We start from the raw sequence: 21,660 nt of genomic DNA, 5'->3' as shown, positions 1-21,660 counted from the left end.
TCATTTAAGACCCCCTGGCTCAGGGAGGAAAGGCTATGCCACCAACTCACACCTGGGACAGATGGAGAAGGCATCCTCTCGTCATTATTCCAAGGACCCTGCTGCATCCAATTTTGGAAACTCAAAGGCAGGGTGCTCCCTGGTCATGTGGGGCACTTCAGGGTCACTCATTCACCATGGCGAGGCTGGCAAATCTGCCTGGGATGCAGCCCTACTGAGGCGGAGACATGGGCACCTGACCTTCTAGAAGTGGGTCCTCACGGACTGCATGGGCGCAGTGGGCTGGGCTTGAAAGGGGGCTACCCCGGGGCCAAGGGCTCCTTTTGCCTGATAGGTTTCTGGGTTTCCCTGCAGGCGAAGCTCATGGGCTGGGGCCTGCAGCCACCTTCTCCTTTTTCAGAGTTTGGAGATGAAGCAATGCCTGCCTTAGTGTACGCAGGCTGCCAAGACAACAGACCACACGCTGGGGGGCTTAGACACAATGGGTTTCTCTCTCCCAGTTCCAGGGACTGGAAAGTCTGAGATCAAGGCATCAGCAGATTCGGTGTCTGGCGGGGGCTTCCTGGTTCACAGACGGTGCCTCCTGGTTGTGTCCTCACGTCGGGGAAGTGGGGAGGGTCTCTCTTCTAAGGACATTAATCCCATTCCTGAGGGCTCCCCTCTCACCAGCTACTCACCTCCCAAATACCATCACCTCGAGGGTGAGGATTTCAACACATGAATCTGGGGAGGTCGCCAGCACTGGGACCATGGCAATGCCCGTTCAGACAGCTTGGTCCTGCCCTTTCATCTTCATTAATCCACCAGAGCTGACGCTGAGACCCCCCGCAGCAGCCTCCACCAGGAGGGAAGTTAATCCTGGTGCCAGCCAGGTGGTGTCCTCCCAAGATCGCGGCCTGTGGCCCTGAGTGCTGGGGGACTACAGCTCCCAGTGAAGACGCGGCCCCGAGTGCTGGGGGACTACAGTTTCCAGTGAAAACGCGGCCCCGAGTGCTGGGGGATTACAGCTCCCGGTGAAGACGCGGCCCTGAGTGCTGGGGGATTAACACTCCCAGTGAAGATGCGGCCCTGAGTGCTGGGGGACTACAGCTCCCAGTGAAGACGCGGCCCTGAGTGCTGGGGGATTAACACTCCCAGTGAAGATGCGGCCCTGAGTGCTGGGGGACTACAGCTCCCAGTGAAGACGCGGCCCTGAGTGCTGGGGGATTAACACTCCCAGTGAAGATGCGGCCCTGAGTGCTGGGGGATTACAGCTCCCAGTGAAAACGCGGCCCCGAGTGCTGGGGGATTACAGCTCCCAGTGAAGACGCGGCCCTGAGTGCTGGGGGACTACAGCTCCCAGTGAAGATGCGGCCCTGAGTGCTGGGGGATTAACACTCCCAGTGAAGACGCGGTCCTGAGTGCTGGGGGATTACAGCTCCCAGTGAAGACGCGGCCCTGAGTGCTGGGGGATTACAGTTCCCAGTGAAGACGCGGTCCTGAGTGCTGGGGGATTACAGCTCCCAGTGAAGACGCGGTCCTGAGTGCTGGGGGACTACAGCTCCCAGTGAAGACGCGGTCCTGAGTGCTGGGGGATTACAGCTCCCAGTGAAGACGCGGCCCTGAGTGCTGGGGGATTAACGCTCCCGGTGAAGACGCGGTCCTGAGTGCTGGGGGATTACAGCTCCCAGTGAAGACGCGGCCCTGAGTGCTGGGGGATTACAGTTCCCAGTGAAGACGCGGTCCTGAGTGCTGGGGGATTACAGCTCCCAGTGAAGACGCGGTCCTGAGTGCTGGGGGACTACAGCTCCCAGTGAAGACGCGGTCCTGAGTGCTGGGGGATTACAGCTCCCAGTGAAGACGCGGCCCTGAGTGCTGGGGGATTAACGCTCCCGGTGAAGACGCGGTCCTGAGTGCTGGGGGATTACAGCTCCCAGTGAAGACGCGGCCCTGAGTGCTGGGGGATTAACGCTCCCGGTGAAGACCCATGCTCATGACAGAAAGTCTGTGGCCCTGGTGGCCAGAAGCCGATTATTTTTGCCAGGGGAGTCAGAATATAAGAGAAATTGAATTAACCAGGCAGGAGTTATAACGCAGTGCGGAGTCTCAAGGACCCTCAAGATTCCAGCGAAGCCCGCGAGATAAATAAATATCAACAGGGGAGTGTGGCACGGAAGGCGGGAGGGGCACTCACGTGGAAGACGTTCACTAACACGCAATACCCATGTCAGAACCGATAAGACTGCAAATATTGATATATTGATATCACAGTTACGGCTATTTCAGGAAATGGAATTTTATTAGAAGTTTTCCAATCTTTCCTCCCTTCCTCCTGGTCTGCCTCCTGATTCCTGCCCTGAAATATGCTCTGTTCTCCTGGGTGAAAGGGAACAGACAGGTAAATCATCACACCGTTAGGTGGTACCCAAGCCAGGAGCGCGTGGCTCTTAGATGCAGTGCGGGGCTGGCTGGGGAGGGCGGGCGGGCTCCAGGCTCCTCCTGCAGGCCGCTCGGATGGGCAGACCTCATCCCTGCTGCCCTGTGCTGCCCCTGGAAAAGCTCCAGGCAGAAACGGGCCTGCTGCATGCTGGGAGGGGTGAGGGTCGGGGTGCTACCTCTCCAAGTAGGGATCTCACCCGACTTGCCCTCCTCCCCCTCAATCCCAGGCTGTCCCTGTTTGGGCTTCCCCAGACAGGACTGGGTGACATTTCTCTGGAAATCACCTATGCAGCTGGGGTGCTTGGGTGACTCTCTGGACGCCCACTCCCTCAGTCCCTCCTCCTCCCTCCAACCACTCAGCACCATGGGGATGAAGGAGGCTGAGACAGTCGGCCACCCTCTACCTCCTGGGCTCCGGATGGAATGCTCCCCACAGCCCACACAGCAGACATGCGGTGCCTGTGTCTCCCAGCAGGCTGGAGGGAGGCCTGCTGATGTCACCATCCCCAGGAGCTGGGGCATGTGAAACCCGCTCCGACAAGGGGTTTCAGGGCAGTGGAACTAGCCGGTGTGACGCTGTCACGGGGATTCCTGGCACTGCATATTTACCAAAGCCCATGACATGTCCACACCAAGAGGGAATGGCAGTGTACACTGTGGATGCTGGCTGGTCACTCAGTATCACCAGGTCACGGGCCTCCGTACTGACTGGTCACGGGTCTCAGTATTGCCTGGTCACGGGCCTCAGTAACGCCTGGTCATGGGCCTCAGTATTGGCTCATCAATTGTAACCAGTGGACCTTGCCAATAAGAGAGTCCAGTGATGGTGTCCTGTGGTGGGAGGGAGCTGTGGACACCCTCTGCTTCCTGCTCTCTTTCTGTAAACCTAAACCTTCTATAAAAAAAGTAAAGTGTACGAACTTAAGAAGTCACAGACAAAAACACCTCCATGGCCATCAGACACTGTAGAACAAGCCCCATGGCTCATTTCTCGGCTGGGATAATAGCTGGCATTTCCCCTCTGAGTGCAGAGGGGAAGACATGGCCCCAGAACTACTCCTGGCTGCGATCATATTTGAACCTCCCCGACCATCTGCAGGGTCAGCTCAGCTCCCCTCTGGGGACCCAGGGCACACAGTGGCCTCTGCAATGCTGAGTATCACACCAGGCCCCTCTTCTGCCAGTCAGGCCATTAGAAAGACCACCAGGCCGGGGACCTCTCCCAGTCCCCACCCTCCTGGAGCCAGGCCAGGCCCCTCGTTCCCATGGGAGGGGTAGGAGGCCAGGGCTAGGCTGGATGCAGGGTGGGGGCGATGGGGGCGTTGGGGGCAGGTGGGGAGCAGCTATCTACCTCCCCACTGCGAATCCCACCCTGCGATGTTCAAGCAGGCGGCCCAGGGAAAAGGAAAACAGAGAGGGCCCTGGTTCGTTAGCGTTCTCGGGAGGGCGCCTGCCGCTAGATAGGAATCTGCGTGTGATCTCAGCTCCGGCTTTCAGCGGATGAGACATAAAAGATAATTAGCTAATTAGATATAATATATTCAGGGATGAGACCCAGTCTTCCATTCTGTCTCTCTAAAGTGTTTCAGAACTTTACATAAAACCATTATGAGTGAAAGGCTAGAACTTTTCAATAAATGATGTTGGATCTGTCGGGTCTCCATGTGCAGAGAAAAAAAATGTGCCTTGAGATCCATCTCATACCACATGGAACTTAATCAGAAACGGCTGGTAGACCCAACTGTGTGATGTAAGGCTGGAAAGCTGGGACAAGAACGCGAGAGAACGTCTCACGGCTTTGGGGTAAGATGACGTTTCCCACACAGAATGCAAAACACACGACCTGGAAGGGAAAAGATGAATCAATTCGACTTAGCTAACATTAAGAATTTCTGCTCATCAAAATGTACCATTAAGCAAATAAGAAGGCCAGCCACAGAATAAACACAGGCTTGAATGGAGCATATAGGAAGAGCTCCTGCAAATTATTTAACAAAAGGACCAGCAACTCAATAAACATGAGTGGAAGACGCAAATGAACACTTCATAAAAAGCAGCTATTGGGCCACTCCAGACGGCTGTAGAGTCATGCCCAGGATCTTGACGCAGCAGAAAAAACCAAGTCCACGAAACACCGTAGGCTCAGCAAAATGGCTGAAATTAAACACACTGACCATCGCCGGTGCTGGAGGGACCATGACGCACACAGAACATTCATGGACTGCTGATGGCACGTGACATGATACAATCGCTTTGAGAAACACTCTGCAGGGCCTACCGTGGCTAGGTCACAGCCCTGCCACTCCAAGGCGAATGCTGGAGATAAGTCAGTGGACACAGCCACTCGGAGACGTGCACCAAGTATGTTCACAGCAGCATCACGCAGAATGACTAAAAATTCAAAAGAGCCTGTACGTCTACCGTCCTTGGCACAGACAGATAGATGGCGGTACAGGGACATTTTATACAGCAATGAGAGTATCAGATTGTCACCACACATGACAGCACGGGCGGCTCTCACAGACGTAACGAGGGAAAGGATCCAAGTCCAAAAATGAGGCCTACTCCCTGCTTCCGTTGATGGGAGGTTCTGAAACAGGCAAACCTGCAGTGACAGAAGTTAGGGCTCTGGTGAGCCAAGGGGAGGGGTGAGATCGGGCCAGGAGGGGTGAGATCAAGGTTTGCACTTACAATTTCCAATTTGCCTGTATAGATGTGTCAATGAAATATTTTTTTAAGTTACACTTTAAAAAAGAATAGTCACCTATTTTGGGCTTCTAAGCCCAATTTAAGATCAAGCAATCTCTTCAGAATATGTCTACACGCATATTTTGTAAACCAATAGAATTGTACAGACGTCGTTTCACAAGGGTCATCAAAGATGGCCTGATGATGAGGGAAGATCATTTCACGAGACACGACTACATTTACTGAGCCAAGGTCTGGGGGACTTTCCTTACATCATTCAGGCATCAGAGGCAACATTCAAAGGAGATGCAGCAGCCCCCCATTATTCACAAGTGATACACCCCCAGACCACCAGTGGCTGACTGGAACGGCAGAGAGTACCAAACCCAGCTGCCATCAATCAAAATCCATTTCTGTTCATGTATTCCATCCACAAACTGAACGCCTTTTCCATCTTAACTATGCACTTTTTATACACCGTGGCCATAACTTTTGCAGTCTGGGGTGCAACAGCAAAGCCAGCATGAGGTCTGTTTCCTTCATGGATAGAAGATTTTTTACTGTAGATCTTAGCAACCTCAGCATGTGATTTTTTTCCTTTCCTTATGAAGTTGAGAATTCTCATCTTTTCACTTAAAGGAAGCACTTCACGGCTTCTTTCTGGCATATCTGAATTGCCAGCATCACCCGTGCTCTTGCACTTTGGGGCCATTATTAAGAAAAATAAGGGTGTCTTGAACACAAGTACTATGATGCCACGACAGTCCGTCTGATAACCAAGACGGCTACTTAGTGACTAATAGGCAGCTGACTTGGACAGTGTGAATATGCCAGGAAAAGGGAGGGTTCATGGACCGGATGGGACAAAGTGGAATGGCGCAAAATTTTTGTCATGCTACTCAGAATGACGTGCAATTTAAAACTTACAAATTACTTATTTCTGGAAATTTCTATTTAATATTTTTGGACTACCTTTGACCATGGGTAACTGAAACCACAGAAAGCAATGCTGTGTGCTTACCTCTGAACAAGTATGCCTGCAATTTTAGTTTCCTGCCACCAGGTGGTGATAGAGACAGAGTCAGCTGGGTAAAATCATGCTTGCAAAGGCCCTAAGTCACCGTGTGCCGGCTGCTGCACTTTGCCCTTTGCCTACAGTTGCGTCTCCCCTCGTCACCAGTGGGAAGGTGACTGGTCCAAGGTGACTTTGGCAGTGAGGCACAGGACCTATAAAGATGCAGGCCACTTAACCCCAATGTGGCCCCTCAGCCCACTCTAGTGCCCCCAACTGCAGGGTCTGGCTTGACCTTGAGAAGCAGCACCCCGTTGACATGTCCATAACTCAGATTAGAAATATCCTTCCCTTCCCAATGGTAAATGAAACCTTTGTTAAGTCACCTGGCTCTAAAATGAGCCAGAGACACTTAAAAATGACAAAAAGTTAAAGCCAAAGAAAACCGCAGCTAAGACACCCAGGGGCCCAGCACCCTGCTCATCCAGCCACCCTGCGTCCCGGAGCATCCCAAGCATCCCCACGTCCCTCCTGCAGCTCCCGCTCCCATCAGTCAGGCTCTGCTCCTGTGGGAGGCATGAGCTGCCAGATCTGCCGAGTGGTCTGAATGATTAAAGGAGACCTTTATTCACCTCTCGGGCTCCCTGCGTGGGAGGTCTGCTTCCTTCCACAGGCAGCCTCATAGGGAGGGCAAGGATTGGGGGAGGCCACCATTGCAGCTGCGACAGCGGGTAGGCCAGGATGGCCCCTCTGTGGGCTAGTGGGTGCCCATCGCCTAGGGCCCTGTGTCCTCAGCTGCCGCCTCAGTTTCCCTGGTGACCTCAACACTCCCACACCCAAGCAGGCTTGCCAGTCTGACCTGCTCCCAGCCTGTGTCTCTCACTCCGTGCCTGCTGGACACCTGCTCCGGTGAGCTCGCACCAGCCGGGGGGCAGAACAGATGCTCCACGTGTGCCTGGGGCCTCCTGGGGTGGACACAGAGCATCGCTGCACATACACCCAGGCCTGGGTTCAGCTCTGCCCTCCACACGGTCTCACACCTCTACTGGAGCCCCACCGCCTGGGCCCTTGAATCACCCCCATCACACACTTCCCCACGCGACCACAGTCACTGCCACTTTCTGCCCAGCCTGACCTCTGCAGACTCCTCTTGCTGCCCTGAACTTATGGTCCAGAGAGCAGCAGAGAGATTTTTGTAGAAGGCCATCAGAGTGATCCGTCACCTTCCTGGCACCCCCGAGGCTCCCGGCAGGTTTGAATCAACCATGTCCTCTGGCCTGCAGAGCCCCTGCCCAGGGACCAGCCTTGACTCCCTGCACCATGCCAACCTCCAAGCCTTGTGCTCCCGCCATGTTCCTGTGAGCTCCTCCCGCTGTCCCCACAGGCACCAGGCACATCCTCACCACCCAGGCCGAGCCCCAGCCCCACGTCCACCTGGAGCTGGCTTCCAGGTATTCACAAGGCCAGAGCCTTCTGGATTTGCAGGTATCAGCCACAACACCAGCTTCCCAAAGTGGGCACCCCAATGAGCCCCCAGTCACCATCTCCCCAAAGTAGGCACCCCAATGAGCCCCCAGTCACCATCTCCCCAAAGTGGGCACCCCAATGAGCCCCCAGTCACCATCTCCCCAAAGTGGGCACCCCAATGAGCCCCCCAGTCACCATCTCCCCAAAGTGGGCACCCCAATGAGCCCCCAGTCACCATCACCCCTGTGGATGTCTCTGCAGGCTCCCAGGCTCCCAGGCCCCCAGTTCATTTCTGCAGACTTGTGTATTTGTCTTTTATTGGCCTTTTCCATCCCACTGTGTCTCCAGAGCCCGGAGGTTCCCAGAGCATTACTCACAAGGATGTGCAGGGAGGAGGACGCTGTCCAGGAGGGTGGGGGAACGAGCCCCCGGCATCTCCTCCAAATCTGGCACCCACTGCCATACGCTGCCCCCTCTCTGTTCCCTGCTGCACTGTCCCCATAGGGCGGGACCAGGCCTGGGCACTGATCAGTGTCCAGCAGGCTCTGAACCCAGGGAGATGAGCAGAATGTCTGACTACTGACTGGAAACACGCCATAAGGTGTCTTTGGAAAGACGCAGACAAACCCTCGGGGCACCGGCTCATCATGCATGGTCAGGAGGAAAGAGCCTCCAGTTTCCCCTCATCGGGGCGAGTTCTGCGGCCGGGGTTCGAGGCCTGCACACCATTCAGCCCAGCCTTCTTCTGTAAACGTGGGAAGGGCACAAGGAGAGAGGGCTGGGGCAAGGTTCCAGCAGGCAAGACGTGCCCGAGGCGGCTCGGGGCCGAGGGTGGGGCATGGGGAATGTCCCTCTCTGCGCTCTGGTGGGACACTGTGCCAGGTGGCCACAGACCCTGACCGTAGGGCCAGCAGTACGCCAGTGACCCCAACTGCAGTGTGGACTACACAGGGGTCCAGACGATTTGGACACACACCCCGTACGTGCTCTCATGATTTGCTCAGCAAACCTTTGTTCCTACAAAGGTCACCTGGGGCCTGGAGACCCCACACTGTCCTGGGCTCCATAATAGTGGAGCTGGAATGAATGAGCTCTGACTGTATTCACTGTGCCTGCTCCTGCGTCAGAGTTTCCCCCGAAGAGACACGACCCTAACTCTGAGATTCCAGCAGCCGGCCCTGGGTCTCCGAGACTGTAAGAGCAGCTGTAGGCACGGATCGGGGTGCTCCCAGGGCCAGGAGCTCTGAGAGTGTCTGCTCCCTTCACCTCCTGACCCCCAAAACCCACCCAGAAGGTGAGGAGCCTCCTCACTTCTGCTGACAGAAGAGAGACCCCGGCCTGGGAGAGGGCCACGCGCTGTGTCGTTGCACAGCTGGTAAGGTGCAGAGCCAGGGCGGAGCCCAGTGGGGCGATCCCAGCACACCCTCCGCAGCTCCAGTCATCTGCCTCCACGAGGTGCTGAGATGAATTCGCCTGGGACATGCAGCTGTTCTCCTGAAAACAGGAACATCAGCTCCAACGCCACAGCATTTTGCGGCTAAGGGGGCTGCCGGGCATTTTATCGGCTGGAAAGAATTGTCTCTAGGGGAAAATTCTGTGTAAAGAGTTTTTAAGTTCATTCTTACAACCTGTCCAAGATTTCTAGAAGGGTCTGGACCTCTTGATGGCAACACAGCCCCATAAAAAAATGAAATAAAGAAAATGTTCACACCACAAACATACTCGAGATGTGCGCAAGCGCCACTTCTGCTCCAAAGAGTCCGAGCCACATCCAGCCACCGTCAGCAAACAGCAACTGTGCTCAAGCGCCACTTCTGCTCCAGAGTCCAGGCCCCATCCAACCATCGTCAGCAAACAACAACTTCCTTGCCAGGCACTGGGAGATGGGACAGTGAGGGCACAGCGTGTCCGAAGACAATGAGTTTAGAGGATTTGCAATATGGGAGCCTGGGGTTTTTTTGGGGGGACAGCCCTTGAGAGAATACCCAGCCCCCTAGAAGGGTGAACTGGAGTCTGGGAACCTGAAGATGACTCGGCATCCAGACAGGCCCCAAACATGGCCCAGAGCCGTCCCCGCCCCACACCCGGAGCAGGGGAGGAACAGGGAGGCAACCCCACTCACCCCCCTCCAAGTCACATGATCAAAGCATCTCCAAGATCAAAATAAAATTTTCTTTCAAAATGTCCCTGGCTTTTTCATTATGTTATTTAATTTAGTTTGAAATCTCAAATCACATCAAAGACAGCATGGGGACTGTATGTTCATCAAAGCAGGGCCTGCGCTAAGGGAGGTGGAGGGCGCCAGCTGTGGGGCTGCTGGTCCTTGTTCCCCACCAAAAAGGCCAAGCCCCACCAAAAAGGCCAGGGACGGAGGCCTTCCCAGCACCGGCCCCTGCTGCCACCCCCAGCACAGCTCAGAGAGGACAGCAGCTGGGTCCCTCATCAAACCAGGACAGGGCGAGAACAAGTGGGTGATGACAGGGAGAAAAGCAGGACAAGGGCAAAGAATGCCCCACCCCCAGCTTGGCCACCGCCTCCTCCCGGAAGGGCTCCCTGACTTGGAGCCTCCTCCACCCACATCCACCGTCCAGCCCAGCTGCTGTGGTGGTGCCTGAGTCCCTCTGTGCCACTGAATCTGGGTTCCCCTGAGAAGGCAGAATCTGGACCCCCTGAGGAGAATGTGACCATGAGGTCCAGCCTCTCTGCCTCCTGTCTTGGACTCAGCCTCCTGGCTGGTCTGTGGACGGTGGGCTGGGCTGTGAATGTCTCCCTCCCTCCACAAGACGGTCCCCGTAGACCTCCTGGCTCCATGGCCAGACCATGGTGGCTGAAGCAAAATTCTCCACTTGCTCAAAGCCCAGCGAGCAACAAGGCTGCGGCTATGATTCTGGGTCCCTTTGTGGGTGGACGAGGGCCCAGAGTGAGGCAGGGTCTCTGCCTGTGTCCCGCCTCTGCAGCCAACAGGCCAGGAAGAATGCTGGATCCTCCGCCGCGGGGTCCAGAAGGCGCTGCGCCCTCAGCAGGGCCCTCGGAGACTTGCCCCGGACTCTGCTGCCCAGAGACCATCAAGGTCCCCGGGTGTCCTGCCCGGTAATCGCACCTGCTCCTGACAATGACGGGCAAAGGCGTCACCTCCTCTTACACGACCTCTTTGGACGCTGCAGTCTGAGGCCATGGTTCCTTCCTCTAGGCTCTTGTCACTGCTCCCTCCACACCCCTCAGCACAGGGCACTGTCCATCTGAACCCTTATTCCATGACTGCCTGGGAGCCCAAGAGGCCACACTGTGGCCACAGGCCTGGTCCTTTCTCTCTCTACACGTCGACGCCCTAGGTCTGGGCCAGCAGGGGCATTTCCAGGACAGAAGAGAGACGTTCTCTGCAGCACTGAAGACCCAGTGCCCCCACTCTCCAGCTGTGGGCTTGGGGCCAGCTCCACCCTTTGTGGGGCTCAGCTTCCCTGCTTTTAACAGGAGGTGACAGCAGTACTGCCCTGGGTGGGTGTTTGTACAATGAATGGGGTGATCCATATAACCTTCAGGAAGGAGCTGGGACAGGCCAGCCCTGAACCTGCCGGCCGCATCAACTGTCACGGTGCTCCGTCACTCACGCAAGATGCAGCGTGGCTTTCAGGATGCTGAAAAATAACCCATATTTAGACTCCACCCAGAGAGGCAGGGAGCTGCGGAACTGAGCGCCCATGGGCTGTGCACATCCATCTGGCGTCTGCCATGGACAAGCAACGCTGCAGGCTCGGGACAAGGGACCTGCCTCTGTCCTCCTCAGAAGAGCCCCGGAATCCCCAGATGGGCCATAATAGGAACGCAGCAGTCGTAAGACCTCGCTGCTCCCCCACCCACCCTGCCCTCAGGAGTGTTTGTGGGGCTGAGTTTCGGAGGTGGAAGTGGACGGGAGCAGCTCAAGGTCCTCTGGCATCAGGCAGACCCCATGCACCCTTCCCTGAAACGTCACGAATGTCCCTGCTAATGGCCGCAATCAGGGCCCGCGCCAGCACCACATGCTGGGCCCCCTCAGCTCTCGGCTTCCTGGAGAGAATTTCCTCAAAGATTTTTCAAAGATATTTCTTCTTGTAGACGCTGATTATTCTCAGATGCTGATTAACATATGTAAGATGAGGCAAGCGGCATTATTAGCAGGGTGTAGTGGACACTTTAAACACCATCAAGAACCTGGAAGGCATCACTCAGGTTCAAGAGCGGCAGCGTCCCCCATCCTTCCCTCTCTGCTCCCAGCTCAGGCCTGCTGGTTCACTGGCTTTGTTCATCATCGGGTCTCCCTGAAAACCTGCTTCAACCAGGCATTTGGAGGCATCAGGACCCACTGACATTCACAGAGCGCCTTTACATACTCAGGGCACAGGTCTGTGCTGGAGATGCAGGCATGGATGTCACTGTCCCCATCACGGTGGTGCTGCAGGAGAGACACGTGCCTCAGGGATGAGGCGTACTGTGGGAATGCACGAAACCCAAAGTGACATCTATGTCCGTATCCATAGATCTGTAGTTTTCTTGTGATGTCTGATACTTTGGTATTAGGGCAATACCAACCTCATAGAGTGAGTTAAGAAGTGGCCCCTATTCTTCTATTTTTTGGAAGAGCTTTAGAAGATCCAGTGTTAATTTTTCTTTAAGCGTTTGGACCAATTCACCAGTGAAGCCATCTGGTCCTGGGCTTTTCTTGTTGGGAAGTTTTGATAACTCATTCCTTGTTTTTACTTAACATAGGTCTATTCAAACTGTTTGTTTCCTCTAGAGTTAGTTCTGGAAGTTTGTGTCTTTCTAGGAATGCGTTTATTTCATCTAAACTATCTACTGTATTGGCATACAATTGTTCATAGTATCCCTTTAACCTTTTTATTTCATATGGTGGGTACTAATGTCCCCTTTTATTTATGATGTGGTAATTTCAGCCTTCCTTCACTTTCCTTCTTCTCTATCCCTCTCTACTCCCTCATATCAGCCTAGCTAGAGATTTGTCAATTTCATTTATCTTTGAAAGAACTAACCTGCTGGGTGGGCAGTGGCTCACACCTGTAATCCCAGAACTTTGGGAGGCCAAGGCAGGCAGATCACTTGAGGCCATGAGTTTGAGACCAGACTCACCAACACAGTGAAACCCCATCTCTACTATAAATAGAAGAAAAAAAATAGCTGGGCATGGCAGTGCAAGCCTGTAATCCCAGCTATTTGGGAGGCTGAGGCAAGAGAACTGCTTGAACCCGGGAGGGCAGAGGTTGCAGAGAGCTGAGATCACACCACTGCACTCTAGCCTGGGCAACAGAGTGAGACTCCATCTTCAAAAAAAAAAAAAAAAAAAAAAAAAAGAGACTCCATCTCAAAAGAAAAAAAAATGAGACTCCATCTCAAAAAAAAAAAAAAAAAGAACTTTTGGTAATTTTCATTATTTTTCTATATTCTACTTTATTCCCATTTTGATCTTTATTATTGTCTTTCTTCCACTTGATGTAGATATTGTTTACTCTTCTTTTTTTAGTGTGTTCACGTGGATATTTTTGGTTTCAGTATAATTTATCTACAGGTCAGTTTATATAATTTCATTGTTTCTTTTTTTTTTGAGATGGAGTCTCGCTCTGTCACCAGGCTGGAGTTCAGTGACGCGATCTCGGCTCACTGCAACCTCCGCCTCCCGGGTTCAAGCAATTCTCCTGCCTCAGCCTCCCAAGTAGCTAAGACTACAGGCACCTGCCACCACAGCCAGCTCATTTTTTGTATTTTTTAGTAGAGACGGGGCTTCACCATGTTGGCCAGGATGGTAATTTCGTTTTTAATAATGGGAGTATTACAAGTCAATTCACACATTTCCTGAAAATTTAACCCATGGTTCTCGCAATCTGGTGCAAGCCAGTTCCAGTATACCACAAGGGTGGTTCTAGCAGACTCTAGAGAGCAAGCAACACCCTGAAAAAGAATCAGCGTCGGCCGGGCGTGGTGGCTCACACCTGTAATTGCAGCTCTTTGGGAGACCGAGGCAGATGGATCAGGAGGTCAGGAGTTCAACACCAGCCTGGCCAACATGATGAAACCCCATCTCTACTAAAAATACAAAAAAAAAATTAGCCGGGTGTAGTGGCAGGCGCCTGTAATCCCTGCTACTCGGGAGGCTGAGGCAGAGAATTGCTTGAACCTGGGAGGCGGAGGTTGCAGTGAGCTGAGATCGCGCCACTGCACTCCAGCCTGGGTAACAGAGCGAGACTCTGTCTCAAAAAAAAAAAAAAAAAAAAAAAAAAAGAATCAGTGTTTGGCTTCAGGAAGCCAGGCAGGACCGTGCCTTCAACCACACTGTCCCTCCTCTGCTTCTCTGCCCACAGCTCAGAGCGCTCAGGGGACCTGCTTGAGGCCACAGCTGCGTTAAGAACATTCACGTATTTCTAAATTGCCGTGGTCTAAAAGTGTTCCCTAAATTCACGTGTTGGAAACTTAACCCCCAATGCAGCAGTGTTGGGAGATGGGCACTTTGACCGATGTTCAGGTCATGAAAGCTCCACCATCCTGGAGAGATAATGCTGTAAAAGGACTTGACTGCGGGAGCCTGGCCCCCTTCTGCCCTTCCACCTTCCACCACGTGAGGATGGAGCGTTCTGCCTCTCTGGAGAATGCAGCCCTCACCACACAACTGAACACGCTAGTGCCTTGATTTTGGACTTCCCAGCCCCCAGAACAGTGTAAAATAAATTTCTTTTCTTTACAAATTACCCAGTCTCAACATCACAAAGTGGACCAAGACAGAAATATCCAAGTACTTAAGGACTTACATTCACTTTTCTAATGACTGAAGCACACAAAAGCTTTTCCCGCAGAAGAGTGAGGGCTGCTGTCCACTCTGCATCCTGCCAGCCCCTTCAGACACGGTTTGCTCCAGGAGCAGCCAGGGGGTCTGGGCAGGGCTGGATGTGGAGTGGACCCCCACTCATGCCTGCTGCTGAAGGACCCTGGGGCATCCTGGATGACAACCATGCCCAGTACACAATGACAGATGGGTGTGGCCTCCCCTTTAAACACAGTGCCCATTTCCTCCAGGAAGCCTTCCTGGATTGCCACACTGATGCATCCAGCTACTACCAGATCCACCACACGCTGCCTGACTCAGCTCTGGGCCCGCAGACCCCATAGGCCTAGGCTGCCCCACCACGGCCCCTCCTCCCAGCCCTCAGTGCTCCTGAAATGACTGTGGGGATAAGGAGGTTGCTCCCTGCTTGCCCCTGCTCTCCCCACATCTGTCCCAGCTTCCATCAGGGGCCTTCTGCCTGGGAGGCTGCAGAGTGGGTGCTGGATCAAGGTCAAATTCACACAGGAGCTCCTCCCAGCCCTCCCCTTCCTTTTCCTCCACGCCAGACAGTTATTAGTCATTTGAGTCATTCGGCTCAAAAATGACAGAATTCGAAAAAAAATTAAAACCCCACCCAAGTTTGTTGGGAGTGATTCGGATGGGAAAGTCAGTGCCGGGAGGCCTGCACTTGGCAGAGGGGCCCAACAGGACGAGGGATGGGACGTGCCTGGGCAGCACAGCCTGGGGTCCCATTGCCCAGGACCCTGCAGCTCTCTGTCCCCGAATCACACGGAGTGGGGGCCTTGTGGAGCAGGCATAAGCTGTCCCCATCCTCATGGGAAGGAGTGACGGTGGGTTCAAGGCAGGAGCACGAGTGGAGCAGGCGTGCTCCTTCCAAACCCTGTAGGCCCGTGGACGATGCATCCCACGTGCAGTGGGCCTTCCACGGGCAGGCTTCAAGAGTTCGAGGGGGCCAGGACACCAGCGCCCCAGCCCCAGGGGAGGGTGGTGGTCTGCCCAGGGTCAGGCCCAGCCCAGGTGTCTGGCCTCCTCCTCCTCCTCCTCTTGGCTCTCCTGGTTGGCAGCACAGGGGCCCTGTGTCCACAGCCCTGGGAAAGAGCCTCCCTTATGAAAGGGAGGGAGCAGAGCCAGGTGACCGCCCTCTTCCCTCCAGAGCCGCGGCGCCAACGTGACGGGACAGGACCCTCCCTGCAGAGCCACCGTGCCGACGTGACGGGACATGGAGAGGCTAGAGCAAGGAGACCACCCCCTTCCCTCCAGAGCCGCCGTGCCTACGTGACGGGACACGGAGAGGCTCGGGCACCCATGTTTGCTCAGCCACCTCCCAGTGTGCTCCCAACCTGAGACTCCCCACAGCACCTCAAAAATCAGCAACTTATCTACCAACCCCAGCTGCCATCTGGTGACGCTCACGTAGTGCCCGTGAATGCTGGGGTCTCCTCTCCTTCACCCTGAGCTGTGCTCCCTGGAGCTGGGAGTGGGGGCGCTTCACAGAGGGGGACATTCAAGGAACTTCATGTTCTCAGCAGCAGAACACCCTGGCTCCAACCGTCTCATCTCTCTACAGAGGCGTCAGAGAGCCATGCAGCTACTGTGTGGTTTTCCAACAATTAAACGCACCGAGATCTGGAAGGAACTGCTGGGTAACTTGCTGGAGAAGGACTGGCTTGCTCCCTTCTGGTAAAACTGGGCTCTGATGAAGCAAAGTGCTTGGCCTTTAGCACAGTTGCCATTGTACCCTCACGCCACAGCCATGGGTCGGGCCGGGCAGTCAGCTCCTCCCTGAAACAACTTCACCACAGTGGCCCTGGCCAGGGCACTGTGAGTTGTGGCTCCAACAGCAGACACACCTGCCCTGCCCTGCCCACCTGCTGGGCCTGAAGTGGCTGCATCCTCTGGACTGAAGCAATTCACATCCACGTCCTAGGGAACCGGGGGCAGGGTCTCTTCCCACCATCTTCCTCACAAACCAATCATGCTCAGAACTGAGGGACATGGTGCCCGCATCCCAGGGCATCTCCAACCCCATCTGGATCCAGGCAGAATGGAACGGAGGGGTGTGCTGGGGAAGAAAGTGTCGCCAACAGCCCCCAGGCGCCTCTCCGCTTGCCAAGCGTTTATAACACGCCACCCTCTCCCAGCAGTGGTTCCATAACAAAAAGGCCGCGGGTGGCAGCAGTCTGCGCGGAGATGTATGTGTCCTGACAGCCCCACCACGGTCGCGTGATGCAGTGGCTGGCAATGCCTGCCAAGCAGAGGGCCACACCAGCACCCACAGCTTCTGTGCCACAAAGCACGGACCCCAAGCCATGAGGGGTCCAGGGTGGCCAGGACCCACAACCTGGCTGAGGATGTGGCTGTACACCCAGTCGCCCATGGCCTCGGGAAGCCTCCAGAAATGCTGGGATCTCCCTGAGCCCCCAGAAGGAAGCCGACATGTCCATGCCCCTAAGCAGTGGAGAGGGTGCCTCCTGAGGCAGGCAGGTACCCAGCTGGTCTCCGTCGCGTACTGGAAGGTACCTGGAACATGAGTCCTTTTCTCAGGAAGGTTGTTAGGGGAGCGGGTGCCCAGTAAACAGCCCAGAGCAAAGCCGGTGCTCCACGTGGGGGTCTGGGCCCCTCTGAAAAACAGCTTCATTATCCTTCCTCAGATCAGGGCCTCGATGATTTGGTGAGGGCCCAGACCCCCTCCTGGATGGCGCTGGGTGGCCAGTGCGGGGTGCCAGGCTGCCAAGGGTGGTCAGGGCTCAACGCAGGAAGGGCTGCCCATGAACAGCCAACTGCCAGCAGGCGGTCTCCTGTGAGCTCTGTGGTCAAACAGATGTCCCCATGTTGTATGAACAACTGTAGGGAAGCAGGGCCTTCCTTATCCCAACCACCACTTGCCGAAGGGATGAACGGGGCAGGCAGGGCCAGCCACAGCCTCTCCAGCTGCCACCCTGGGGCCAACCCCTGGCCAGGCTGAGCACCAACTGGTAGATGCAGGCTGACTCGGCCACAGACACCGCATCTTAGGGACCTTGGCGCACTCCCAGTCTCTTGCGTACAATAGAGCAGGTGATTCACGTCGCTCCTGGTGGAAAATTCCCGTCACCCTAGTCCCAGCCACAACATGCCTTCAGCTGGCCCTGGGGGCCCCGTTGGCGCCTCGAGGTGGAGATGACGCGCTGTGCCCAGCCTCTCAGAACCGAAAGGCTTTTGCTCCTGCACTCCTGTAATTAAACCCCACATTGCTAGGGCATCATGAGCAGCTAGGCATGATGACGGTCAACAACGGGGAAAGGCAAGAGAAGAAGTGACTTCCCTCCTACCCTGGCTCCTGCAGTCACTGCCAGGACCCACAGCCCAGGGTCCAATGGCCCTGCCATCAGTGTGGTCCCCATCCCCACAGCAAGGACAGGACCATCTCCAGACTCCTGTACGTGGCCAGGGCACCCTCCACCCTCCCGCACCGACCTGCTGCTGGAGGATGAGGACAGGGCTGTGGACGTGGGGTGGAAGGTGACGCTGACCACAGATCCCCCTCGTGGTGCCCCTTCTTCTTCACACCTGGACTCTAAACCACACGTGAAGCACAGATGCCAAACCCACGGCCTCAGCGTCCACCCGCCTAAGGCTGCGCGTCTACTGCCAACCATCCACACTGCCTGAGAGCGGGCAAGGCCTCTGCTGTCCCACGCCTGCCTCAAACTCCCAACCACAGAGAAGCAAAGACTCTGGCCACCATACCTCTGCCCAGAACCCGGCAGTGCCCACCTGCCTGTTTTCTGCCTCTTTTCCCAGCCCAGGACCCAGGTGGCTCGCAAGGCCTCATGCCTGGAGAATATAAGGCTCCACCCAACACCCACCTCCAGGCCCTCTGGCCCTGCCCCTTCCTGGGCACAGCCTCCCCAGACCTGGCAGTCAGCCCGGCCTGTCCTGCACCTCCCAGTGGCCACTGCGGCCCTGACAATGGGTCTGCGCTGTGCCATGACTGCAGTTTACCATCCTCCAAAAGCTCCCAGGGAAAACTGCCCCCGCCCACGACCGAGACTTGAGGCTACCACCCTTCACCCCTCTGGCTCAGCTCTGGGGCAGTTCCGCTCACAAACCACCACCCTCTGCTGCCCCCGCTACTGGGCTGCAGTCTTTGATTTCCTGGGAAAGGAGTTTCAGGAGAACTCAACTTGTGGGAGACAGCACCTCTCTTCATAAAGGAAGACCTTGCTTCAGCGAGGCGGGCTGGCCAGGTACAGCCAGGTACTGCATGCCTGGCAAGGGCTGGGTGAGCGCTGGACTCGGACACAGGGTCTCAGTCCTCAGTGCCGTGCTGTGGTGGCTGCGGGACCCAGCACGTGTGTGCTGATGGAAAAGGGAACCTGGCGCGTCTGCATAAACAGCTAGAAAGGAGCAGAAGCAGGGCCTGGCCAGCCCGCCAGGGCATCACGCACCTGGGTGCCTGCCTCAGAGGGCAGCCCTGGGGGAGGGGAGGCTCGGTGGCTGATACTGTGTGTAAGGATGGAAAGCGCCACAGTGCGTGGCTGGTTTGTGTTTGAATCTTTCACTGATGGTTCCGTAAGTTGGATCTCGCATGCAGGTGCACAGGCTCACAGCCCTGCCCTGTACAGGCAGGGACATGGTTCACCCAGAAATGCTTTAGCTCAGAGACAAGGCCGGGGAGGCTGGAGGCTAGAATTCCTCTCTAACCACTGGCCCCCTCTTTTCACAAAGAGAAGCATTTCTGGTGAGCTCCTCATCATCCCTCAATACCCTATTCAAATGCCCCCTCATGGATGCATCCTTGCTGAGGTCCCAGCGGGAAAAAGTGATGGCACTCTGGGGCCCCAGTCTGAATTCCCGCACCTGCAGCACTGCATGGCTCTCTGTATTGGGTGTTTTGAGTTGACTTCCCCATGCACCTCTTCTGCTGCCATGGGTATCCATCTTCTTTCAACAGATGAGTGAGTGAGCAAATGTATGAATAATTAAGAAACCGACCAATGGACAAGTGAGCACAGTCAGGCTTGCTCCGGCATTCCGAGCGCCTGTGGTCACGGAACGCGGTAGGGGCAGCAAGTGCCTCCCCGATTTCAACCCTACTCACATTCAATTCCAACACCGACCCAACACAGCACAAGTTTTCTCTTCAGCAAATGCAATTCACATGCGAGGAAACTTATTATGCACGCAGAGCAAGAAAATAGAAAAGCAAAAATTAAATTAGATGGCAGCCTGGAAAATGCCCACTGTGCAAAAAGAAGCAAAGCTAACTAAGCTAACTAATTTGTTTGGCCTCCCTTGAAAACAGTACGGTTTTAATTTGGGTCTCTGGGACCCGGCTCCTGAGGCACCAGGAGGCTCCTGGTGAGAGGAAAGTGAATGTGGTTTCAGATGAGCAGACCCAGATTCAATTAGTAATCAATTTTGACCCCAACTCTGCCGATAGGCGGGCGGAAGTAATGAGAAGAAAGGACGGCCTGGCTGTGAACTCCTTGGCCGTGCAGGGCACCGCTCTCCCCCTCCCAGTCTTGAGACGCATCAGTGTCCCCGAGAAGGCGCCCCGGCCACCATGTGTTCCAGTGGCTCCAGATACAGGCAGCCAGGAGGGCTGTGGCTGTGGGAGAAGCAGTCCCCTTCCCTGGGAAGAAGACCGCCACGCCTCTGCCCCAGCTCGCCCCAGGATCCAGCTCTGTAGAACCGAGGCCTGAGAGCCACTGAGCAGCCCTGAGGCCCTGCGTACCTGGTGTTTAATCAGATGCCTTCTACAGATGCAAATTGATAGATGTTTTTAATAAGGACAAAAACAAGGCTCCAGCGGCCCACTCCTCCCTGCCCCAGGTCCTCAAAATGCACCAGAAGCCTCTGATGGCTCCCCTCTCCTCCAGCCCACTCCAGCAAGCTCAGCCTCTCGCGCCACACTCTCCCTCCCAAGTGCCAAAGAGCTTCCCAGAAACCCTCAGGGCTGGTGGCCGGAGGGCCAGTGGCATACGGCTGCTAGGTCTAGGGAAGATAGACAGGTGGCTCAGCTGGAAGGCCACCTGGCCCACGGTTCTTCCTGGGTATCCCACCTGAGCAGTGCACGCAACCCCCAGGTGCACAGGGCATCTGTGACCAGGAGAGCTGCACGGACTGAGACCTGGGCAAGGCATGCTCCCTTCAGCCAAGAGCCCGCGGCCCCTTCCCCTTCTTCCCTTCCTATAAAGGCCTCAGGGGTTAGGGGTCCAGGTAGTGGGCCCTGGGGCAGACTCACTGCCTGGCCTGTTCCTGCACAGTCTTAGGACACGCTCATCAATGAGACACCCAGAGGGAGCTCAGTGATTCCGTCAGCCCTCCTCCTCCTGACCATGCCCTGACTCTGCTGAGAACCCCTAGAGGGGTCTATCTGGCTTTGGAGGATCAAGGGCTCGGCCTATTAGAACACCTTTCTCCCGGTGATACCAGCATTCTTTTTTTGTTTGTTTTTTTGAGACAGAGTCTTGCTCTGCCACCCAGGCTGGAGTGCAGTGGCGTGATCTCGGCTCACTGCAACCTCCGCCTCCCGGGTTCAAACAATTCTCTGCCTCAGCCTCCCGAGTAGCTGGTGCACACCACCACGCCCGGGTAATTTTGTATTTTTAGTAGAGACAGGGTTTCACCATCTTGACCAGGCTGGTCCTGAACTCCTGACCTCGTGATCCACCTGCCTCAGCCTCCCATAGTACTGGGATTGCAGGCGTGAGCTACTGCGCCTGGCTGATACGGGCATTCTTTTTCCTAGTGCAGCCGCCTCCCTCTGTGGAGTGCTCAGGATGCCTTGGCCCTGTCTCTGTACGCCCCATCCCTTCTCCATGGACCTTCACCAGCACCCACGTAGCAGCAGGCTCTATCCCTGACCCCGTGTTCTCAATCACAGCACACGGGCAAGGCTGCCCACGTCAGGCTCCTGGGCAGAGGCGGTGGGATCCGAAGTTGGGCATCCGGAGCCCCCACAGGGGGAGTGGGGGAGGAAAGGACCCTTGACCAGAGTCAGGAAACTCAGACTCCAAATCCAGCCCTGGGAGGCCTGGCAGGGGCCTGCCATCCATGGGGTGGGCCAGCTGAGCATGGGACACATCTCCACAGGTCCCTGCACCGCGTCCCCAGAAGGCCAGTGAGCACTGCGCCAGGCCTGAGATGCTCGCAACCATGTTTCAGTGCAGGATGCCACGGATATAGCTGCCCTGAAGTCCACCAAGGACTGGAGGGGCCACTGGCCAGCGACACCCCTACATATCCTCGGCCCTACTCCACC

At 55.6% G+C, this 21,660-nt stretch overlaps 1 protein-coding gene across 2 annotated transcripts in view, besides 3 other annotated features; it reads right to left on the bottom strand.

The window, feature by feature from the left end:
• Positions 1 to 21,660, bottom strand: part of TAFA5 (TAFA chemokine like family member 5) — a 262,380-nt gene that overhangs the window by 82,250 nt on the left and 158,470 nt on the right. The window lies entirely within an intron of this gene.
• Positions 65 to 717: an enhancer, noted in NCBI's record as "H3K4me1 hESC enhancer chr22:49064778-49065430 (GRCh37/hg19 assembly coordinates)". NCBI's record gives its function as "activates a minimal SCP1, AML or CMV promoter by ChIP-STARR-seq in primed H9 embryonic stem cells {active_cell/tissue: H9 hESC(primed)}" and the evidence as "EXISTENCE:reporter gene assay evidence [ECO:0000049][PMID:30033119]".
• Positions 2,329 to 2,828: an enhancer, noted in NCBI's record as "H3K4me1 hESC enhancer chr22:49062667-49063166 (GRCh37/hg19 assembly coordinates)". NCBI's record gives its function as "activates a minimal SCP1, AML or CMV promoter by ChIP-STARR-seq in naive H9 embryonic stem cells {active_cell/tissue: H9 hESC(naive)}" and the evidence as "EXISTENCE:reporter gene assay evidence [ECO:0000049][PMID:30033119]".
• Positions 2,829 to 3,330: an enhancer, noted in NCBI's record as "H3K4me1 hESC enhancer chr22:49062165-49062666 (GRCh37/hg19 assembly coordinates)". NCBI's record gives its function as "activates a minimal SCP1, AML or CMV promoter by ChIP-STARR-seq in naive H9 embryonic stem cells {active_cell/tissue: H9 hESC(naive)}" and the evidence as "EXISTENCE:reporter gene assay evidence [ECO:0000049][PMID:30033119]".

The sequence above is a fragment of the Homo sapiens genome, chromosome 22 (genome assembly GCF_000001405.40).
Source record: "Homo sapiens chromosome 22, GRCh38.p14 Primary Assembly".
In the NCBI taxonomy this organism is placed as follows: Eukaryota; Metazoa; Chordata; class Mammalia; order Primates; family Hominidae; genus Homo; species Homo sapiens.
This window is presented reverse-complemented; position numbering and strand designations above follow the sequence as displayed.